The 22,026-nt window shown below is 44.0% G+C and overlaps 1 protein-coding gene and 1 long non-coding RNA gene across 3 annotated transcripts in view, besides 3 other annotated features; both read left to right on the top strand.

Moving 5' to 3' along the window:
* The window catches only part of ZNF670-ZNF695 (ZNF670-ZNF695 readthrough (NMD candidate)), a 133,266-nt gene that overhangs the window by 94,688 nt on the left and 16,552 nt on the right, over positions 1-22,026 (top strand). Inside the window, exons 5-6 of the long non-coding RNA NR_037894.2 lie at positions 4,120-4,284; positions 16,332-16,429. This is a non-coding gene — a long non-coding RNA (ZNF670-ZNF695 readthrough (NMD candidate)). The remainder of the gene's footprint in view (positions 1-4,119; positions 4,285-16,331; positions 16,430-22,026) is intronic.
* The window catches only part of ZNF695 (zinc finger protein 695), a 62,512-nt gene that overhangs the window by 23,934 nt on the left and 16,552 nt on the right, over positions 1-22,026 (top strand). For both annotated transcript variants that reach the window (NR_037892.2, NM_001204221.2), the window contains exon 5: positions 16,332-16,429. Coding sequence is in view for 1 of the 2 variants with exons in the window: in NM_001204221.2 (NP_001191150.2) it covers positions 16,332-16,429 (98 nt within the window). In the remaining variant the exon portion in view is untranslated. The remainder of the gene's footprint in view (positions 1-16,331; positions 16,430-22,026) is intronic.
* Positions 4,983-5,277: an enhancer, noted in NCBI's record as "tiled region #11618; HepG2 Activating DNase matched - State 16:ElonW". NCBI's record gives its function as "activates a minimal TATA promoter and a strong SV40 promoter by Sharpr-MPRA in HepG2 cells {active_cell/tissue: HepG2}" and the evidence as "EXISTENCE:reporter gene assay evidence [ECO:0000049][PMID:27701403]".
* Positions 21,542-21,591: an enhancer, noted in NCBI's record as "active region_2865". NCBI's record gives its function as "activates an Ori minimal core promoter by ATAC-STARR-seq in GM12878 lymphoblastoid cells {active_cell/tissue: GM12878}" and the evidence as "EXISTENCE:reporter gene assay evidence [ECO:0000049][PMID:35858748]".
* Positions 21,642-21,801: an enhancer, noted in NCBI's record as "active region_2864". NCBI's record gives its function as "activates an Ori minimal core promoter by ATAC-STARR-seq in GM12878 lymphoblastoid cells {active_cell/tissue: GM12878}" and the evidence as "EXISTENCE:reporter gene assay evidence [ECO:0000049][PMID:35858748]".

Below are 22,026 nucleotides of genomic sequence, written 5' to 3'. Positions count from 1 at the left end.
CTGGTGTGCACTGGTGTAATCTCGGATTACTGCAACCTCTGCCTCCCAGACTCAAGCAATCATCCCACCTCAGCCCCCTGAGTAGCTGGGACTAGAAGTGTGCACCCCCACTCCTAGCTAATTCTTTTTTTAGTAGAGATGAGGTTTTACCATGTTCCCAGGCTTGTCTTGAACTCCTAAGCTCTAGTGACTGACCTGCCTTGGCCTCCTAAAGTGCTGGGATTATAGGTATGAGCCACACCTGGCCTGGAAATTTGAAATTTTTTAATGTGATGATAGATTTTTGTTTGTTTGTTTGTTTGTTTTGAGACTGAGTCTCACCCTGTCACCCAGGCTGGAGTGCAGTGGTGCAATCTTGGCTCACTGCAACTTCCACCTCCTGGGTTCAATCAAGTCTCTTGCCTTGGTCTGCCAAGTAGCTGCGATTACAGGCACGCACCACCATGCCTGGCTAATTTTTGTATTTTTAGTAAAGATGGGGTTCATCATGTTGGCCAGGCTGGTCTTGAACTCCTCACCTGAGGTGATCCACCCACCTCAGCCTCTCAAAGTGCTGGGATTACAGGCATGAGCCACTGCGCCCAGCCAATAGATTGACTTTTAACTGGAGAGTTTGAGGTCATTTATATTTTACAAAACTGACATTGTGATCATAGCTTACTGCAGTCTCAACCTCCCAGGCTCAGGTTATCCTCTCATCTTAGCTCCCTGGGTAGCTAGGAGTACAGCCACATGCCACCATGCCCAGCTAATTTTTTTTATTGTTTTGTAGAAATGAAGTCTCACTGTGTTTTCCAGGCTGATCTCAAGCTCCTGCGCTCAAGCAACCCCCCTACCTCAGCCTCCCAAAGTGCTGGCATTACAGGCATGTGCCACCATGTGGCCCAGCTACAAGCAACACATTCTTTTTTTTTTTTTTTGAGACAGAGTCTCGCTCTGTCACCCAGGCTGGAGTGTAGTGGCGCGATCACGGCTCACTGCAAGCTCTGCCTCCCAGGTTCATGCCATTCTTCTGCCTCAGCCTCCCAAGTAGCTGAGACTGCAGGCGCCCGCCACCACACCCGGCTAATTTTTTTGTATTTTCAGTAGAGACAGGGTTTCACCGTGTTCCCCAGGATGGTCTCAATCTCCTGACCTCATGATCCACCTGCCTCGGCCTCCCAAAGTGCTGGGATTACAGGCGTGAGCCACCGTGCCCGGCCAGAAAATTGTTTTTAAAATAAAAGACACCATTGATAATTGCATCAAATATATGGAATACTTAAGTCTATAGCTGACATAAAATATGTAAGAGTTGTACGGAGAAAATTTTCAAACTTATTTGAGAGATGTTTAAAAGGATATAAATAGATAGAGATCTCCTGACTTCGTAATCTGCCCGCCTCGGCCTCCCAAAGTGCTGGGATTACAGGCACGAGCCACCGCGCCTGGCCAAGCAACACTCTTAATGGAGGAGAGGGATGCACTGTCCATGGGCCAGAGAATTAAATCGGGCAGTTAGCATTGTTTGTTTGTTAAAAGAAAATATTTTAAAATCCTGACACAAAGTGTGGTGAATGTATAATTAATTAGAATAGGTAAAGCTTTAATAATATTGGACTATGTATTGTAAGCAGTGTGTAAATAAACATGTCAGAATTTGGAAATCTCTGAAGAGCAAATGTATCTTAGAAATTCTTAAGGAGAGTTAATGATAAGTGGATAATTTTGAATTTAATTTTCTATGAAACACTTACAGCACACCTTATGTTTCCATGCAGAACCTATTTTTGAATGTGTGTGTTGTGTTGAACAATAATAGAATGACTTCTGTGGATTTAAAATTTGAAATAATCTTTTTTTTTTTTTTTTTTGAGACTAAGTTTCACTCTTTTTGCCCAGGCTGGAGTGCAATGGCGCGATCTCGGCTCACCGCAACCTCCGCCTCCCAGGTTCAAGTGATTTTTCTGCCTCAGCCTCCCAAGTAGCTGGGAGTACAGTCATGCACCACCACGCCTGGCTAATTTTGTATTTTTAGTAGAGTCCGGGTTTCTCCATGTTGGTCAGGCTGGTCCCAAACTCCCAACCTCACGTGATCCGCCCACCTCGTCCTCTCAAAGTGCTGAGATTACAAGCTTTAGCCACTGCCCCCGGCCTGAAATAATCTTTCATTTAGATTTATTTTTGCAATCTTGGGAACTTTTTAAATCTCTTCCTATGTTTCATTGGGTGCAGTTGGCAGTCCATAGTCTTCATTCTTAATCACCTAGCTAGCCAACCGCTTGGCCATTCACTCTAAAGACATCTCAGAGATCATGGTAGCTTTTGGATTAAAACAATTTCCTCAGTGATTTTGGGGTGCTAAATTGTTTTCTGTGTTTCTACAATAGCCAAATTGGGACCATTAGCACTGTCTGCTTCTTTACTGTTTTCTATACCATCACCATCAGGAACAGCAGCTCCAGGTACCCCCAAGCTTAAAGTAAAAGTTCTAAAATATTTCAGTCCTTCCCATGTTCTGTGCTAGGCCCTGAGCACACTGGTAAATACCTGAGTTCCTGTACTGATGACGGACTAATAGAACAAAAACATCACGAAAACTTTATTTTTGAGTCTTTTCCACTGAGTTTATGAGAAAGACAGAAACATTTATTTCCCAAATATTCCCAAATATTATATATTTCAAAATTTGGGAAATATTTCTTTCAATATTTAGGAAATAAAGATGTCTCCTCAACCTACTGATTTTATTTTTGTGGATATATATCCAATAGTAAAATTGCTGTGTCATATGGTAGTTCTATTTTGAATTTTTTTGCGGAAATCATCATACTGTTTTTGGCAGTGGCTGTATTGGTTCACATTCATACCAACAGTGTGCTAGCATTTTTCTTTCCCCACACTTTCGCCAACACTTATCCTCTGTCTTTTTGATTATAGTCGTTCTAACAAGAGTGAGGTGATACCTCATAGCAGTTCTGATTTGCCTTTCCTTGATGATTATTGATGAACATTTAAAAATATATGTGTTGGTCATTTGTAGGTCTTTTGAAAAACATATTTAGATATTTTCCCCATTTTTAATATCTTTCTGTCATATAGTTTAAGTTCTTATGTATTTTCAATATTAACCCATCCGACATATAATTTGAATATTTTTTCATTCTGTGGTTGTCTCATCATATCATTGATTGTAGCTGGTGCTGTACAGAAGCTTTTTAGTTGAAAGAAGTTTCATTCATTTTTGCTTGTGTTGCCTGGGATTTTTACATTAAATCTAAAAAATTATTGCCCAGACTAATGTCATGGTACTTTTGCCTTATGTTTTCTCATAATAGTTTCAGGTTTCAGGATAGTTGTGATGAGTATCCCATCATGTGAATGCACTTAATGCCTCTAAAATGTACACTCAAAAATGGGTAAACTCGGCCGGGTGCGGTGGCTCACTCCTGTAATCCCAGCACATTGGGAGGCTGAGGCGGGTGGATCAGTTGTGGTCAGGAGTTCAAAACCAGCCTGGCCAACATGGTGAAACCCTGTCTCTACCAAAAAATACAAAAATCAGCAGTGTGTGGTGGTGCACGCCTGTAATCTCGGCTGCTTGGGAGGATGAAGCATGAGAATCACCAGAACCTGGGAGGTGGAAATTGCAGTGTACTGAGATCGCGCCACTGCACTCCAGTCTGAGCGACAGAGTAAGAGTCTGTCTCAAAAAAAAAAAAAAAAAGTGGCAGGGGGGCAAATCTTATAGTTTGCATATTTCATTACTGCTTTAAAAAGGGAAATTAACAGCTTTAGGTATAATATAACAGCCAAATAGTACAGGTCTATAACTAGAAAGTGACTAAATGTATCATTTTATAAGAATAAAATCAGTCTTTCAAGGCTGTTTAAAAATATGTAACTGATTGACAAATTATGTATTCAAACACAGCATAAGTTTTTTTTTTTTTTTTTTTTTTTTTTAAATACAGAGTCCAGGCTGTCGTCCAGGCTGGAGTGCAGTGGCGCGATCTTGGCACACTGCAAGCTCCGCGTCCCAGGTTCACGCCATTCTCCTGCCTCAGCCTCCTGAGTAGCTGGGACTACAGGCGCCCGCCACCACGCCTGGCTAATTTTTTGTATTTTTTTTTTTTTTAGTAGAGACGGGGTTTCACCGTGTTAGCCAGGATGGTCTCAATCTCCTGACCTCGTGATCCGCCTGTCTCGGCCTCCCAAAGTGCTGGGATTACAGACGTGAGCCACTGCACCCGGCCAGCATAAGATTTTTATATGAGTAATTGGGAAGGCTTCTATAAATATAAGGTAAAACTTAACGAGTTATTTAGAATGACGTATTTTAATTTTTTTAGAAAGATTAAACAGTCAAATTATTTAGTAATGGGGATAATTCATTTTAAAGAATACTCTAAACTAACAATTATGAGCAAATTATGTGAAACAAAAAGATTGCCTAAAAATAAATTTCTCAACCATATTCATAATTTAAGAAATATGGTTAGATTTGGAATGCGAAATTCATTTAGATAATTTCACCTAGCGAATGGGTAGTAAAGATTTCAATAACATTTCTGAGGCTATCAATTAAAAGATAATTTTCAAGGCTGTGAAAGAAGAGGAGAGCTGAAGGAGGTCTCAAGGATCTGTAGTGCCCGTGGTATGATGCACGTCTTTCCTTGAAATGGCAAAATCAAAAGCCCAGTCCCCTGGGTGAGATTCTTCTAACTAGGTAAATTACCCAGGATGCTCTCCTGGCTATGACAAACGGAATCAGGAGAAACGAGGGCTGTATTCTAAGTCTGGGTGTGGTCCCGTACCCCTCAAACCTCCGTTGTCACCACCACCGTCTTCTCCACATCTTCCCCCATGTCATCCCCAAAGCAACAGGAACAGTTCCAAAAACAACCCACCAAAGGACTCTATTTTTGAGTTATCTCCCCTTGTGGATCTCAGTGTTTCCTCCAGGTGTGTTCACCCAGAGCAGCTCTCTAGGATCTGAGACAGATTCCAGCCCAGGCCATGTAAAGACTTTAGATCCTAGCCTAGGTTACACGTGTATACCCGGAATGGATATGTACCTGACTGTTGTAGACTTTGAACAGTAGTCAGGCTTCCAAGGTGAAACCACAGAAGTCCAACACACATGACCTCATTTCTCACACTTGGATAAACAAGACTAGAGTCCACTTAAAAGCATTCACGATCACTGTATCTTACTGCATCTCACGCGGGCCACTGTCTTCACTGGAGAACATCATCATACTGGGCAGCCAGAGAAGTTCTTCAAGTCATTTCCCCGACAAGCAGCTTTGGAAACACCTGAAAATTTGCAACAAAGCAGACCAGACTGCTGAGTGAGTAACATGAAGGAGAGGCCCAGCAACCCGTTATCCTACAGCCCTCCAGGTGGTTCTGGTCCATTCTACGTGCAGCAGCCTCTGCAGTACCTGAGCCGTAGTTTATCCTGAGTTAACATAGTCATACTAGGAATACGCCATACACATGTGGTAACTTTAGAGCTGGACTCAAAACTCCAAAAATGTATGAACAAAAATAGGTCTGACCGACTCCACAGCCTTTATTGGTTTCTTGCTCTTTCCCATCTTCCTTCACTGCTTCCTTCTGTTCCTGGGATCACCTTTCAAGTAAATCACTTGCTTTTATGTGTTGCATCATCATCATGCAAATTAAAGCACCACAATTTATTGAACATTTTATCAAAATGTAAAACCTTACAAAAGATTAACAGGTTATGTTTGATTATGGGATTGAATATTACATTCTCACTGTTGTGTTTGATAATTTTCATTACAAAGTCATAAGTAATCAAATGATTAGACAGCTGTTTAATTATACCTCTAAAGAATAAGCATTCCATTTGCTTACATAATTATTGTGACTCTGGGATGAATGTATTCTGAATTTGAGGGTTTTTTCATAACACCCTGTTCCAGTGCACAATGTAAATAGCCTTTTTGTCAGAACTCATGATAGTACAGGTAGCAGCAGCCACTCCCAATCATGTCTCCTGTGTTCTGCTACAGAGAAATGTTTCTGCTTACATTGGTGGCCGAGTGATAGTGTTCTGCTCCATGAGATTTAGAGAGAAGTGCCTGAACAGGTTGGCCTTCTCTGAATTAAAAAACACTGGTTTTTAATAACATTCCCTGTCCTATTAGCTTCACATTTTTCTCCTTGTTGCTGTTTGGAATGTGATTCAATTGCCTGGAGGTGGATCAGCCGACTTGGGTTCTGAAGGAGTGAGCTTGAGCACAATGACCAGGTGTAGACCATTTCAGAGACAGGAAATGGAAAGAAACTGGCACACTATAAGGTCACTGCACTATTAGTTCTGCTGCCCAAGTACGTAAGAGTACACCTCATATGTTCTGATACTATACAAAAGTCTTTTCTTTGTAGCTGAACGCAAACTAATTGCTACAGAATGAGATGTATGAAAGTTTTTAGAATCAAAATGAAATCACCAATGTCATAAAAACTCTGACAAATAGAGATGCTGGAAGAGAGTGTTATTAAGCTTATACACCTGATAACAAAGCTATCCTAAAAGACTTTTAAAAACTTTATCCTTTTGCCGGGTGTGGTGGCTCATGCCTGTAATTCCAGCACTTTTGGAGGCTGAGGCGGGTGGATCACGAAGTCAGGCTTTCGAAACCTGGCCAACATGGCAAAACCCCGCCTCTACTAAAAACAACAAAAATTAGCCAGGTATGGTGGCGGGCACCCGTAGTCTCAGCTACTCAGGAGGCTGAAGCAGGAGAATCGCTTGAACCCAGGAGGCAGAGGTTGCAGTGAGCCAAGATCACACCACTGCACTCCAGCCTGGGCGACAGACCGACTCTGTCTCAAAAACAACAACAAAAAATGTATCCTTTCATAAAGGCCTTCACAACCTTGTACAAAACATTTCTATTGAGCCATTAAAATACCAGTGGGCACTGATGAGTAGATTTATTTTGGCACATATGAAAGTTTTTGTTAGCTGGCACAACGCTCTTACATTTATATCTGGGGCTTGAGGGAACATAAAAAATGCTCATAAACTTTGCGAATGGCAGGGAACTGGGAATGATAGAAAATATGTGCGTAACTGATCTGAGGTTGACTTTGTAAGTATTGTTGTAGTTTGGATATGTGTCCCTGCCCAAATCTCATGTTGAATTGTAAATTTATAATGTCTAAAGTTTAAAAAGTAGCTGCTTCTCATTCTGGTTTTCTGAACTTTATAGAGGCAAATAAATTTTCAGTCTGATTTGGGGGTCTCTTATTTGGCTTTGCATTTTCTCTTCAGGATAAATTCAGTGTTATTTATTTATTTATTTATTTATTTGAGACGGAGTTTCGCTCTGTCGCCCAGGCTGGAGTGCAGTGGCGCGATCTCAGCACACTGCAAGCTCTGCCTCCCGGGTTCATGCCATTCTTCTGCCTCAGCCTCCCGAGTAGCTGGGACTACAGGTGCCCGCCACCATGCCTGGCTAATTTTTTGTATTTTTAGTAGAGACGGGGTTTCACCGTGTTAGCCAGGATGGTCTCGATCTCCTCACCTCGTGATCTGCCCGCCTTGGCCTCCCAAAGTGCTGGGATTACAGGTGTGAGCCACCGCGCCCGGCCAGTGTAATTTACTCCTTTTGTCATGTGTTGTTTATTTACAGCAAATGTTGCCTACTACAACATTCCCACTGAAATAGAATGTCTTATGTCTTTGAATGCCTCAAAAGGATTTAAAGAAATAATAACTGATCCTTGAGCACATATACCTACAGGGATATAGCAATCATTGAGCTAAATAATTAGCTAATTAAAAAATTGTTTTGCAAATGTAGAAATGACTATTTCATTCTTGTTGTGGTGCTTCTGTAACCTTGTGTTCTGTCCCCCATGTGGACAGTGTGCCACATCTAGTTTCTGCATAGATTTCAAGAGAGACATAAGGACAAGTTTTTTATGTGTGAGGATGCAGCTTAGGGCAGCAACATTGCACACCAATTATAAACCAATAAAGTTCTTGTCCCTGCCTCTCCCTCAGCGTCTCCCTCACCAGCCAGTATCAGCAGATGGTCTATCTCATTCTTCATGGGAAAACAGAAACTGTTCATCTTATGCTTGGGAAGCCTCTCTCTCTTAACCTTGAGATTTCCCTTCAGAGATGGTCGTTTCCTCCTTCCCTCCTGCCTAATAGAATAAGTTATTCTCTTCGCCTAATAGAATAAGTTGTTCTCTTCGCCTAATAGAATAAGTTGTTCTCTTCTCTTTTACCTCTTTTGAGACTTAGCCTCTTTAAAGATTCCCTTTTGTTTTAGTTGTCTTCGATTTTTCTTTCACTTGGCTTAATTCCCTCAGAGACATAATTTAAATCATTTTCTTGATACTGTCTCCTGCTCAGTTTACACCTTAGCTTACTCCTTACTGTCAATGAAAATCTTGGGAGGGTTGTATATGCTTCCTAGCTCCTCTGCCTCATGATTACTCCTCAGCCCTCAGCATTTGCATGCCAAACTCTGAACTTTCATGTTCTCAGCATGTTAGTAAAACTGTTCTTGTTTCATTTTACTTAAGTTCGAAGCACTGTATTATTGCTCCCACAGCCCTCAGTCCAAAACTTCAGTGCATTGTAATTGTTAAAATCTTCATCACATTGTATTTTAATGGTCTGCGTTCATATGTTTCCTCCGTAGACTAAGCTTCTAGAAGGCAGAAAAATGGATTTATATAGATTGCATATTTCCTTTGGAGTTAAATGTAGGTCATGACACATAAATATATGGAAAATACACTATCCAATAAATTCACAATAAATATTGGTGGATATCAGTGTTCCGAAGTTACAATTTCTGCTTATATTCATTTTGCCAACAGCATATCACTCATTTATTTATTTATGAATGCAGTACGTATTCATGGAATGCCTACACTGTCATAAAATCTGTCTTAAGAATTGGTTTATATGGTGAATGACAATATATGTAAGGATCCTTAGCCTATGGAACTCACAATGTGGTTAAAGGAGACTAATCGTAAATGCAAAAACAACTAATTAAGATATTTTCAAATAATAAATGGAATGAAGTAAATAAAAATGAATAATGGTACAGTGAGTGGGTCTCCATGAGGCTCGGAAGGGAAGAACTCTCTGAGGAAGTAATAATGGAGAAGAAAGATGAAAGGAGTCAGCCATACAAAGACCTTCCAATCACAGGAAGTGACAAGGTTGAAAGGAACCAAAAGCAAGGGAAAGCTGGCCATGTTCCCGAAAAGTCAATAAGGCCACTGTGGCGGTGGGTCAGCAGGAGAGGTGGTGAGAGGAGTGAAATGCCTGGGACTAGATGTGCTGCTTTTCTGGAAAGATCTGGGCTAGACAATGTCAACTTACCAAGCTTATTTCTACCTCAGAGTCCTCATGTACCTGCTATTCCATATCTGCATTGATTTTCCCTTTTCCCTTTATCCTGGGAAGCAAGGCTTCTCCTTCTCTCCCTCTCACCTGAGTATTACTCTTCCATTATGCCCACTCTCTTTTATAGTATCATATCTATGTTTTTTATTTTAATTGTGGTTAAAAAAGCCACATGATATGAAATTTACTCCCTTAGGAAAATTTTAGATGTATGATACGATATAGCTAACTATATGTACATGGTAGTCCACAAATCTCTAGAACTCTTCTAGTACTTTTGATCTTTGCCTCTCTTGTTTTTTCTCCCCAGAGCCAAAAACAGGTGTTAGTCTACTGTATCTTAGCTCTGGAGGGACTCATAACCCAGTATTTTGAATCCTAGACCAGAGATCTGATATTCCAATGCATGTTAGAAGTACTCTTGCTTTGTGTCTTTGGGCTGGTCTTCCCGAATAACTGATAGTAAGGTGCTCCTGCAGCATAGTTCAGACTCTTTCCTCACAAGCTCTGTGGGTTCTTTTTAACATGTAATAGGTTTTTTGTTGTTGTTTTTTGTTTGTTTTTTTTTGTTTGTTTGTTTGTTTTTTATTCCAAATAAGCTAGGCAATTAATAAGTTAGCAATGGATGGCCTGGAAAATTTCATTACCCAAGCCTTACATTATCAGCACATCTGCTTATGAAAAAATACTTAATACTTAAAAATACTTAAAATAATTAATAATTCTTGATTATCTCCAGGAAGAAGGAAACCACTGACAGGCAACCTGGGAGGGAGTGAACGGTTATACTGAGGCCATGAAAGGCACTGACATTCACACATAATAGGGTAATAAAAGGGAATTCACATCTATTGAGTGCCTACATGGGTGGGATATAATTTGGTTCTTAAGATGCACCAGCTGTGGAGTCCATCAGACCTGGATTTGAATCCCAATTCCATCATTCATCATTATGTGATTGTGGATATGTTTTTAACCCCTCTGATCTTCGCTTTTCTCATCTATAAAAGATGCCTTTTTCAAGTTGTTATGAGGCTTAAACAAGATAATTGTGTACGAATCTGGGCAAAATGCCTGTAATTTTGTGTTTAATACATAGAAGAGTATCATCCTTCTCTCATTTAATTTTTAGAGCAAACAAAGTCTGTGGTAATCATTTTTTTATAGTTAAATCAAGGATCAGAAAGATGAAATCACCATAGCCACATAGCAACTCACGGTACACATTCACATGATAATTGCTGGTCGCAAGTAGCAATGATAATCACATGTATAATCTCACATTATGTAGTGGTTTTACTTTACATAAGCCTCCTTATTTGTTGGAACCATAGATTCTAAGTTGCTCTATCAAAGCAATCATTAGAAATATGTGACGTTCGGCCGGGCACGGTGGCTCATGCCTGTAATCCCAACACTTTGGGAGGTTGAGGCGGGCAGATCACCTGAGGTCGGGAGTTCGAGACCAGCCTGACTGACATGGAGAAACCCTGTCTCTACTAAAAATACAAAATTAGCCTGGTGTGGTGGCGCATGCCTGTAATCCCAGCTACTCGGGAGGCTGAGGCAGGAGAATCTCTTGAACCTGGGAGGTGGAGGTTGCGTTGAGCCGAGATTGCCCCATTGCACTCCAGCCTGGGCAACAAGAGTGAAACTCCGTCTCAAAATATATATATATATATATGTTCTTAGTGTACACATTTTAGGAAATTTCCTATTACTCTTCTGTTTGATTTAATGTGTGTGATATTTTCAGAAATATGTAAGAATTTATATAGTATATATATATATATATATACACATTAAAAATATAAGTTGACATCACAGAGTAGACTTGACTCATGACAAATTTTTTTTCTGAAAGCACCTGCAGAAATCGGTGTTCTTTTGCGTTTCTAAAAAACCCAGAGGCTGCCGGGCTCAGTGGCTCACGCCTGCAATCCCAGCACTTTGGGAGGCCAAGGTGGGTAGAACTCAAGGTCAGGAGTTCAAGACCAGCCTGGCCAACATGGTGAAACCCTGTCTCTACTAAAAATACAAAAATTAGCTGGGCGTGGTGGCAGGTGTCTGTAATCCCAGCTACTTGGGAGGCTGAGGCAGAGAACTGCTTGAACCCGGGAGGTGGAGGTTGCAGCGAGCCGAGATCACGCCATTTACTCCAGCCTGGGCGACAGAATGAGACTTCATCTCAAAAAAAACTCAGAGGCCACTGGGGAGAGGAGGCTTTTTGGATTCCCAGTAGTGCACAAGACTTAGATTTGATTACAGTAGTAATTTAAGCATAATCCATTGTAAGGTGATGATCCAGAGAGACTTCATAACAACGCAGAAACTTAAAAGCTCCCAGCAGCCAGAAAGGAAGGAAAATCAGAATTATGGTGGGGCAGGGCAACCACTTGGGGGGTTGCTGTGGGAGGGGACAGCCACCGGTTTGGGTAGCCACAGGGCATTGTGAGCCAAGTGCCTGGGACAGGAACTCTAGGAGTGATTGGTTTCTGGTAACCAGGTGACCTAGGAGGCCTGGTTAGTAGGCACAGGCCAGTGGCCTTCAGTCGGCAGTCAGTGGCAAGAGGAGGCGGAGCACCGACCTGCTACAGTGCTTTCTCCCTGCATGGTTGCGCTTCTCTGCACTTGTTGGGCTCCATCCATTTTAAATAAACCAGCAGGCCCCTGCCCTCAGGGGCAAGTTGTCTGAGCCGGGGGAGGGAAGGAGCTGAGGCAATCCCAGCACTTTGGGAGGCCCCGGTGGATGGATCACCTGAGATCAGGAGTTCAAGACCAGCCTGGCCTTGAACTCCTGATGAAGTTCAAGATGGTGAAACCCCGTCTGTACTAAAAATACAAAAAATTAGCCGGGTGTGGTGGTGCACTGTGGGCGGGAAGCCACCCAGGTGCCAAGGCAAGAGACCAAGGGCACAAGCTGTTGCAGTATAATAAAGAAAATGTATAGAATAAGAATAGTTATACTAGAAATAGATTACAGATATGATTATATATAAATATCATTAATCATTAGTTTCTAGCATTACTCTTTATTCCAATATTATAATAATCTTTGTTTTACAGTATAACCTAGGAAAAACCAGGCCAAACAGAGATAGGAGCTGAAGGGACACAGTGAGAAGCGACCAGAAGGCAAGAGTGTGAGCCCTCTGTCATGCCCAGACAGGGCCACTAGAGGGCTCCCTGGTCTAGCGGTAGCGTCAGTGCCTGGGGAAGGCTCCCGTTACTTAGCAGACCAGGAAAGGGAGTCTCCCTTTCCCTGGGGAATTTAGACAAGACTCTGCTCCACCACCTCTTGTGGAAGGCCTGACATCAGTCAGGCCCACCCACAGCTATCCGGAGGCCTGACCGTCTCCCTGTGATGCTGTGCTTCAGCGGTCACACTCCTGGCCCGCTTTCATGTTCCGCCCTGTACAACTGGCTCCGCCTTCTAGATAGCAGTAGCAGAATCAGTGAAGACTAAAGTCTTTGAAATGCACAGAAGAAATAATGATGTAAGCTGCCCTCTCTCTCTGCCTGGGCTACCAAATGGAAGGGCCCCCTCTCCGGTGGACAGGTGACTCGTGTGACCTTACCTATCATTGGAGATGGCTCACACTCCTTACCCTGCCAACTTGTCTTGTAGCCAATAAATAACAGCGCAGCCATGCATTCGGGGCCACTACCCATCTCCGCATTTAGGTGGTAGTAGTCCCCTGGGCCCAGCTGTCTTTTCTTCTATCTCCTTGTCTTGTGTCTTTATTTCTACGATCTCTCGTCTCTGCACACAAGGAGAAAAACCCACAGACCCAATAGGGCTGGACCCTACAGCGCATGCCTGTAATCCCAGCTACTCGGGAGGCTGAGGCAGGAGAATCGCTTGAACTCGGGAGGTGGAGGTTGCAGTGAGCCAAGTTTGCACCATTGCACTCCAGCCTGGGCGACAGAGCGAGACTTCGTCTCAAAACACAAAAACAAACAAACAAACAAAACACTTTGTTTTTAGCCGTTCTACTAAGGGTCTTTACTCCTCACCCTAAGTCTTCAACAAGGGCTCTCCACTCTGCCTGTTAGGAACTCACATTTACCAGCCCTGTGTCAGCTTTGGGAATTGTTTAGCTTATAGATTCCCGTCAATTAATTGTTCCTTGCCAGGCTTGGTGAGTTTCACCTTATACATGCCAGATTAGTATTCATGCCAAGTCTCAAGGGGACTCGTATGCAGATTTCTGGAGCTCTCTTTACATAGCTTCTTCCTCTTCAATACTCTGCCTCACAAATTGCAAACTGCCGTAGCCATCCCCACCTCCAGTCTTTCCTCAACTCAGCAAGATCTCTTGGGCTCTGTTTGGATTCCTTACACAACAACTCGAAAATTGCCTGCAGACAAAGAACTGGAGTGATTGTAGGGCTCACCTCTGTTTCCCTCCTCTCCGAGATCACACTTTACACTACCTACAGTCCTAATATTTGAATACAGTTGTTTCGTATATTTTGTCAGTTTTCTAGTTGTCTATGCCAGAAGGGGAACATCTGTCTCAATCACTCTTTCACTGTCGGAACAGAAGTTACTGATTTGTTCTTAACACTAGTTTACTTTGAATTAATGCGTAATTTAAAACTCAAAAACACCTGTGTTAAAAGAGCTGCTCTCTATACTAAGTGCTATGATAGCAATACTGGAAAGGATTTTAGGAGAAGATACTCAAGTTGACTCTTTAAGTATCTCTAACTTTACAAGGCCTGTGGTTTGGCTCTGCGTTCCCACCCACATCTCATGTTGAATTGTAATCCCCAATGTTGGAGGAGGGGCCTAGTGGGAGGTGATTGGATCATGGGGGTGGACTTCTCCCTTGCTGTTCTCGTGATAGTAAGTTCTCACGAGATCTGGTTGTTTAAGAATGTGTAGCACTTCCCCCTATGCTCTCTCTCTTCCACCAGCTATGTGAAGATGTGCTTACTTCCCCTTTGCTTTCCACCATGATTGTAAGTTTCCTGAGTCCTCCCCAGAAGCAGAAGCCTGTACAGCCCACAGAACCCTGAGCTGACTAAATCTCTTTTCCTTACAGATTATCCAGACTCAGGTAGTTCTTTATAACAATGTGAGAATGAACTAATACAGAAAAGTGGTACCAGAGAGTTGGGACATTGCTATAAAGATACCTGAAAATGTGGAAGTGACTTTGGAACTGGGTAACAGGCAGAAGTTGGAAGAGTTTGGAGGGCTCAGAAGAAGACAGGAAGATAAGGAAAAGTTTGGAACTTCCTAGAGACTTGTTGAATGGTTGTAACCAAAATGCTGATGGTGATATGGACAATGAAGTCCAGGCTGAGGAGTTCTCAGATGGAGATGAGGACCTTATTGGGAGCTACAGTAAAGGTCACTCTTGCTATGCTTTAGCAAAGAGACTAGTGGCATTGTGCCCCTGCTATAGGGATCTGTTGAACTTTGAACTTGAGAGAGATGATTTAGGGTATCTGGCAGAAAATATTTCTAAGTAGCAAAGCATTCAAGATATGGCCTGGCTCCTTCTAACAGTGTATGCTCATATTTCTGAGGAAAGAGATTATCTGAAACTGGAACTTACATTTAAAAGGGAAATGGAGTATTAAAGTTTGGAAATGTGCAGCCTAGCCATGTATTAGAAAAGAAAAAACCATTTTCTGGGGAGGAATTCAACCTAGCTGCAAAAATTTGTGTAAGTAAAGAGGAGCCGTATGTTAACAGCCAAGACAATGGGAAAAATGCCCCCAAGACATTTCAGAGACTTTCGTGGCAGCCCCTCTCATCACAGGCCTGGAGGCCTAGGAGGGAAAAACAGTTTTGTGGGTCAGGCTTAGGGCCCTGCTATTCTGTGCAGCCTTGGGACCCTGTTCCCTGTGCTTTAGCTGCTCCAGCTCCAGCCATGGCTAAAAGGACTCCAGATATGTTTCAGGTTGCTGCTCCAGAGGGTATAAGACACAAGCCTTGGAGGCTTCCAGATGGTGTTAAGCCTGCAGGTGCTCAGAGGGCAAGAGTTGAGGCTTGGGAGCCTCCATTCTTTCAGATTTCTGAGGATGTATGGAAACAACTGGATATCCAGGCAGAAATTTGCTTCAGGGGCGGAGCCCTTGTGGAGAACCTCTACTAGGGTACTGTGGAGGGGAAATATGGGGTTGAAGTCCCCACAAAGAGTCTCCACTGGGGCACTGCCAAGTGGAGCTGTGAGAAGAGGGCCACTGTCCTCCACACCCCAGAATGGTAGCTCCATCAACAGTTTGCACTGTGTGCTTGGAAAAGCCACAGGCACTCAACACCAGCCTGTGAGAGCGGCCATGGGGCACTAAGCCCTGCAGAGCCGCCAGAAGCAGAGCTGTCCAAGACCTTGGGAGCCTACCCCTTGCATCAGTGTGGCCTGGATGTTAGACATGGAATCAAAGGATATTATTTTGGAGCTCTAAGATTTAATGACTGCCCTGCTGGGTTTCGGACTTGCATGGGGCCTGTAACCCCTTTGTTTTGGCCAATGTCTCCCTTTTGGAACAGGAACATTTACCCAATGCCTGTACCCTTATTGTATCCTAGATGTAACTAACTTGCTTTTGATTTTACAGGCTCATAGGCAGAAGGGACTGCCTTATCTCAGATGAAACTTTGGACTTGGACTTTTGAGTTAATGCTGAAATGAGTTAAGACTTTGGGAGACTGTTTGGAAAGCATAATTGTGTTTTGAAATGTGAGGACATGATATTTGGGATGGGCCAGGAGTGGAATGATATGGTTTGGCTCTGTGTCCCCACCCAAATTTCATGTCAAATTGTAATCTTCAATGTTGGAGGAGGGTCCTGGTGGGAAGGTAATTGGATCATGGGGGCAGACTTCTCCTTTGCTGTTCTCATGATGAGTGAGTTCTCATGATACTTGATTGTTTAAAAGTGTATAGCATTTCCCCCTTTGCTCTCTCTCTCCTGCCAGCCATGTGAAGATGTGCTTGCTTCCCCTTTGCCTTCTGCCATGATTCTAAGTTTCCTGAGGCCTCCCCAGAAGCAGAAGCATGTAAAGCCCACAGAACCGTGAGTTGATTAAATCTCTTTTCTTTATAAATTACCCAGTCTCAGGTGGTTCTTTATAGCAATGCAAGAATGGATTAATACACAAGGCCAGGTCAAAACTCCTGATCTTCCCCTGAAACCTGCCCCTGCAAGTCTTCCCCTATCTCAGCTAGTGGCAACTTCATCCTTAGAGTTTCTCAGACCCAAAACCTTGACATCATCCTTGTCACCCCTTTTTCTCTTTTATCCCCCATTCATGCCATTAGGAGATCCTATCTGACCTTTAAGCTATATCCAGAATTCAACTATGTCTTGCCACCTCTACTGCTCCCACCCTTGTCCAGGCCACCAGCATTTCTAGCTTGGGGTTTTGCAACAGTCTTCTAACAGCTGTCCTTGCCTCTACCCTTGTCTTCTTACAATCTATTCTCAATCCAGTGGCTTTTTAATATATAATCCTTTTAATATGTAACGTTTAGGCTGGGTGTGGTGGCTCACACCTGTAATCCCAGCACTTTGGGAGGCCGAGGCAGGCGGATCACCTGAGGTCGGGAGTTCGAGACCAGCCTGACCAACATGGAGAAACCCCGTCTCTACTAAAAATACAAAATTAGCCAGGCATGGTGGCGCATGCCTGTAATCCCAGCTGCTGGGGAGGCTGAGGCAGGAGAATTCCTTGAACCTGGGAGGCGGAGGTTGTGGTGAGCCAAGATTGCGCCATTGCACTCCAGCCTGGGCGACAAGAGTGAAACTCTGTCTCAAAAAATAAAAACAACAAAAAAAGTAACATTTAATATGATTTATTTAATATGTAACTCCTCTGTTCAAACCCTCCAATAACTCCTCATCTCACTATCTCACTTAGAGTAAAACCTTGCAGTGGCTCACAGGACCTCCCCACAACTTTCTCATTTTGACTTTTTTTTCCTTTAAAAATAGGGTCTTGCTCTTTGCCCAGGCTAGAGTGCAGTGATGTGATCATAGCTCACTGTAAACTTGAACTCCCAGGGTCAAGCGATCTCTCACCTTAGCCTCTTGGGTAGCTAGTACTACAAGAATGTGCCCCCATACCTAGCTGATTAGAAAAAAGAATTGTAGAGACAGGTTCATGCTATGTTGCCCAGGCTGGTCTTGAACTCCTGGACACAAGTGATCCTCCTGCCTCAGCCTCCCAAAGTGCTGGGATTACAGGTGTGACTCACTGTGCCGTCTCACTTTGAATTTTTTTTGGTGGGGGGATGGAGTCTTGCTCTGTCGCCCAGGCTGGAGTGCAATGGCGCAATCTTGGCCTACTGCAACCTCCACCTCTGAGGTTCAAGTAATTCTCCTGCCTCAGCCTCCCAAGTAGCTGGGATTACAGGTACCTGCCACCATGTCCAGCTAATATTTAGTAGAGATGGGGTTTCAACATGTTGGCCTTGTTGGTCTCAAACTCCTGACCTCAAGTGATGCGCCTGCCTTGGCCTCCCAATGTGCTGAGATTATAGGTGTGAGCCACCGCGCCCGACCTCACTTTGACTTTTATTCTCTCACTTGCTCACTGTCCTCAGGCCATCTGGCCTTTTTCTACTTCCTTCACAGTTGAAGTATGCCTCTGCCCCAGGCTCTTTGCCCTTATTCTTAACTTTTCTCTTAATATTTTCCTCCAAATACTCACATGACTTGCTCCTTCACTTTCTTCAAGTCTTTGCTCAAATGTCCCCTCTCACTGAGGCCTCCCTGACTACCTGTGATATTGTGATTTATAAAAAGATATATATATAAAATATATATATATTTTTAATTTTCTGGGTTAGTTTTCTCTTGCTTATAACAGAATACCTGAAACAAGGTATATAAACAAAAAGGAATTTATTTTTTACAGTTATGGAGGCTGAGAAGTCCAAGGTTGAGAGGCTGCTCCTGGTGAGGGCCTTCTTGCTGTGGGGACTCTGCAGAATTTTTTTTCTTTTTCTTTCTTCGTTTTTTGCACTGTCACCCAGGCTGGTGGCACGATCTCAGCTCGTATGGTCGTACGGTGGAACGATCTCAGCTCATTGCACCCTCCACCTCCCGGGTTCAAGCGATTCTCCTGCATCAGCCTCCTGAGTAGCTGGGGCTACAGGCACACACGACCACACCTGGCTAATTTTTGTATTTTTAGTAGAGACAGGGTTTTGCCGTGTTGGCCAGGCTGGTCTTGAACTCCTGACCTTAGGCGATCGGCCTGCCTCAGCCTTCCAAAGTACTGGGATTACAGGCGTGAGCCACCATGCCCTGCCAACTCTGCAGAATCTTGAGCAGCGCAGGAAATCACATGGCAAATGGGCCGAGCGTGCTAGCTCAGGTCTGTCTTGCTCTTCTTTTTTTTTTTTTTTTTGAGACAGAGTCTCTCTCTGTCACCCAGGCTGGAGTGCAGTGGCGCTATCTCGGCTCACTGCAAGCTCCGCCTCCCGGGTTCACGCCATTCTCCTGCCTCAGACTCCCGAGTAGCTGGGACTACAGGCGCCCGCCACCATGCCCAGCTAATGTTTTATAGTTTTAGTAGAGACGGGGTTAGCCAGGATGGTCTCCACCTTCTGACCTCGTGATCTGCCCACCTGGGCCTCCCAAAGTGCTGGGATTACAGGCGTGAACCACCGTGCCCGGCCTGTCTTGCTCTTCTTGTAGAGTCATCAGTCTGATTCCCATAATAAACCATTAATCTGTTAACCCATGGATTAATCCATGAGCAGACTAATCCATTCATGAGGGCAGAGCCCCACGACCCAATCACCCCATAAAGTTCCCCCATCTTGCAGTACTGCCACATTGGGGATTAAGTTTTTATTTTCTAATTTATTTTTTATTAAATTTTTTTTTGAGACAGAGTCTCACTCACTCTGTTGCACAGGCTGGAGTGCAGTGCCGCGATCTCAGCTCACTGCAACCTCCACCTCCTGGGTGCAAGTGATTCTCATGCCTCAGCTTCCTGAGTAGCTGGGATTACAGGCATATGCCACCATGCCCGGATAATTTTTGTATTTTTAGTAGAGATGAGGTCTCACCATGCTGGCCAGGCTGGTCTTGAACTCCTGACCTCAAGTGATCCACCTGCCTTGGCCTCCCAAATTGCTGGGATTATAGGCATGGGCCACTGGGCCCAGCCAGGGATTAAGTTTCAACATGAGTTTCTGAAGAGACAAACATTCAAACCATAGCAATATTTGTCTCCAGTCCTTTGGCATAGAGTTCCTAAAACCCTTTAATTTCCTGAGTAATAGGGGCGTTAGGAGAATCTTTTGTTCTGATATTTGGTCTTTGATCTTGGTTCCTGACACAGAGATCCTGATCACTTGGAATTTCCTGGGTAATAGTAGCGTCTTTTTTTCTCATGGGGCACCTCTTGGTGGGCTCCTGGATAGGGCTGGTCACCAGAAAGACCAAGCCATGATTAGAAACTTGGAACTTTCAGCTCAGCTCCCCATCCTCCATGAAGGGGAGAGGGGCGGAAACCTGAGTTAGTAATTGGTGGTGCCTATGTGATGAAGCCTCCATGAAAATCCCTGAACTGTGGGGTTTGGAGAGCTTCCGGGCTGCTGAACACGCGGAGGTGCTGGAAGGGCGATGCACCCTGGAGGGGGCGTGGAAGCCACCTGCCCCCTCCCCCATACCTGGCCCAATGCATCTCTCCCATCTGGCTGTCCATCTGTATCCTTTGTAATATCCTTCCTAATAAACAGGTGAACATAAATAAAGTGGTTTTCTGAGTTCTGTGATCCATCCTAGCAAATTATCAAATCCAAGGAGGGCACCATGGGAACTCCAGTGTACAGCCTGTCAGTCAGGAACACGGGTCACAGCCTGGGGCTTGTGACTGGCATCTAAAGTAGGGGCAGTCTTGTGGGACTAAGTCCTTAAGCTGTGCAATCTGACTCTAACTCCAGGTACATAGTGTCAGGATTGAGTTAAATTGTAGATCACCCAGCTGGTGTTGGAGAATTGGTCGGTGTGGGGAAAACTCCACACACATTTTAGCAACCGGAGAGGAAGTATTCTCTGACAAGTATGACTGTAGAAGAGAAAGCAGTTGGTTTTTCCTATTATACACAACTCCATTTAAAATCGCAATAACCCCCGCACCTGCTCTGGCACTGCCAGCCTTCTTCCCTGCCGGATTATTCTCCATAGCACTTGTCTTGTCATCTAGCGTAGAATTTACTTGTTTGTTCGCTTCATTGTTCCTCCCCTCCCACCACCATCACCACCACTGGAAGGGAAGCTCTACAAGTCAGGAAGTTTGCCTGTTTTTTATTTTTCTTTTTATTATGTTCTGTAAAATCAGAGTTTCACTCTGTTACCTAGGCTGGTCTCCAGTTCCTAGCCTCAAGTGATCCTCCTGCCTCAGCCTCCCAAAGTACTAGGATTACAGGCATGAGCCGCTGCACATGGCCAGTTTTGTCTGTTTGATTCACTGATGCCCAGCACCTAGATTAGTGGCTGGCACACAGTCACCTTTAGTAAACGTGTCATGAATAAATGAATGCAGAAGCAGTGGCAGGGGTGAGCTAGTTAGTGAAGGATGGCCACTTCCGGATGAGGGAATAGCATGGAAAAGCACTAAAGGCAGAAGGAGTGTGACATGATCGGAAATGGACATTAGATGAATATAGCTGGAATGAGGGGCATGGAGAAAGGTGGCAAGAGACAGGAGCCGGTTTGCCTGCTAAGGTGTTTGGACTTCAGCCTAAAGGCAGCGAGGAATCGTTGAAAGGTTTCAAGGCCGGGCATGGTGGCTCACACCTGTAATCCCAGCACTTTGGGAGGCCCAGATGGGCGGATCACAAGGTCAGGAGATCAAGACCATCCCGGTTATCTACTAAAAATACAAAAAAAAATTAGCCGGGCGTGGTGGCGGGTGCCTGTAGTCCCAACTACTCGGGAGGCTGAGGCAGGAGAATGGCGTGAACCTGGGAGGTGGAGCTTGCAGTGAGCTGAGATCGTGCCACTGTACTGCAGCCTGGGTGACAGAGCGAGACTCCGTCTCAAAAAAAAAAAAAAGAAAGGTTTCAAGCTGGCAGAAGGGGGTCAGAGAGGTGATGAAATCTGATGTTAGTAATTTAGAAAGATCACTCTTGCAGAAAACATCAGCTTAGAGGTGAAGAGGCCAGCCCCACGGAAGCCACTTGCTTCTCATTTTAGTAACTCTGATGATCAATGATGAGGACCTGAATTAAGTCAGTGGCCAGAGCCATTGAGAGGAAAGGGGATGGATTTGAGAGGTATTTAAGAAGTAAAATCTTTATGACGTGGTAAACAAATCGTCTGTGAGGTATGAGGCAGAGCAAGAGGCTAGGACGACCACCAGACTTCTTGCTTGGGTGGCTTGAGGGATGTGATGCCTTTCCCTGAACTCTGGTGTAAAGCAGTCGTGCTGCCTTGCTAGCCATATTCCTGTGACTGGGCCATGAGGGCCCAGTGCTGATGGGGCACAAAGCCCAAGCCATTCGTCAGTGTTCCCTACGTGTGCAAGCCCAGCTGGTGACAGGAAGTCTGACCTGAGCCCCACTAGTCAGCAGCCTCTCCTTCATTAGGAAAGACCAAGCCTAGCATATAAACATTGCTTTAATTTGTTAGCCAGGGCTTTGTGGCTTCCTGCC

This window comes from Homo sapiens, chromosome 1 (genome assembly GCF_000001405.40).
Source record: "Homo sapiens chromosome 1, GRCh38.p14 Primary Assembly".
In the NCBI taxonomy this organism is placed as follows: domain Eukaryota; kingdom Metazoa; phylum Chordata; class Mammalia; order Primates; family Hominidae; genus Homo; species Homo sapiens.
This window is presented reverse-complemented; position numbering and strand designations above follow the sequence as displayed.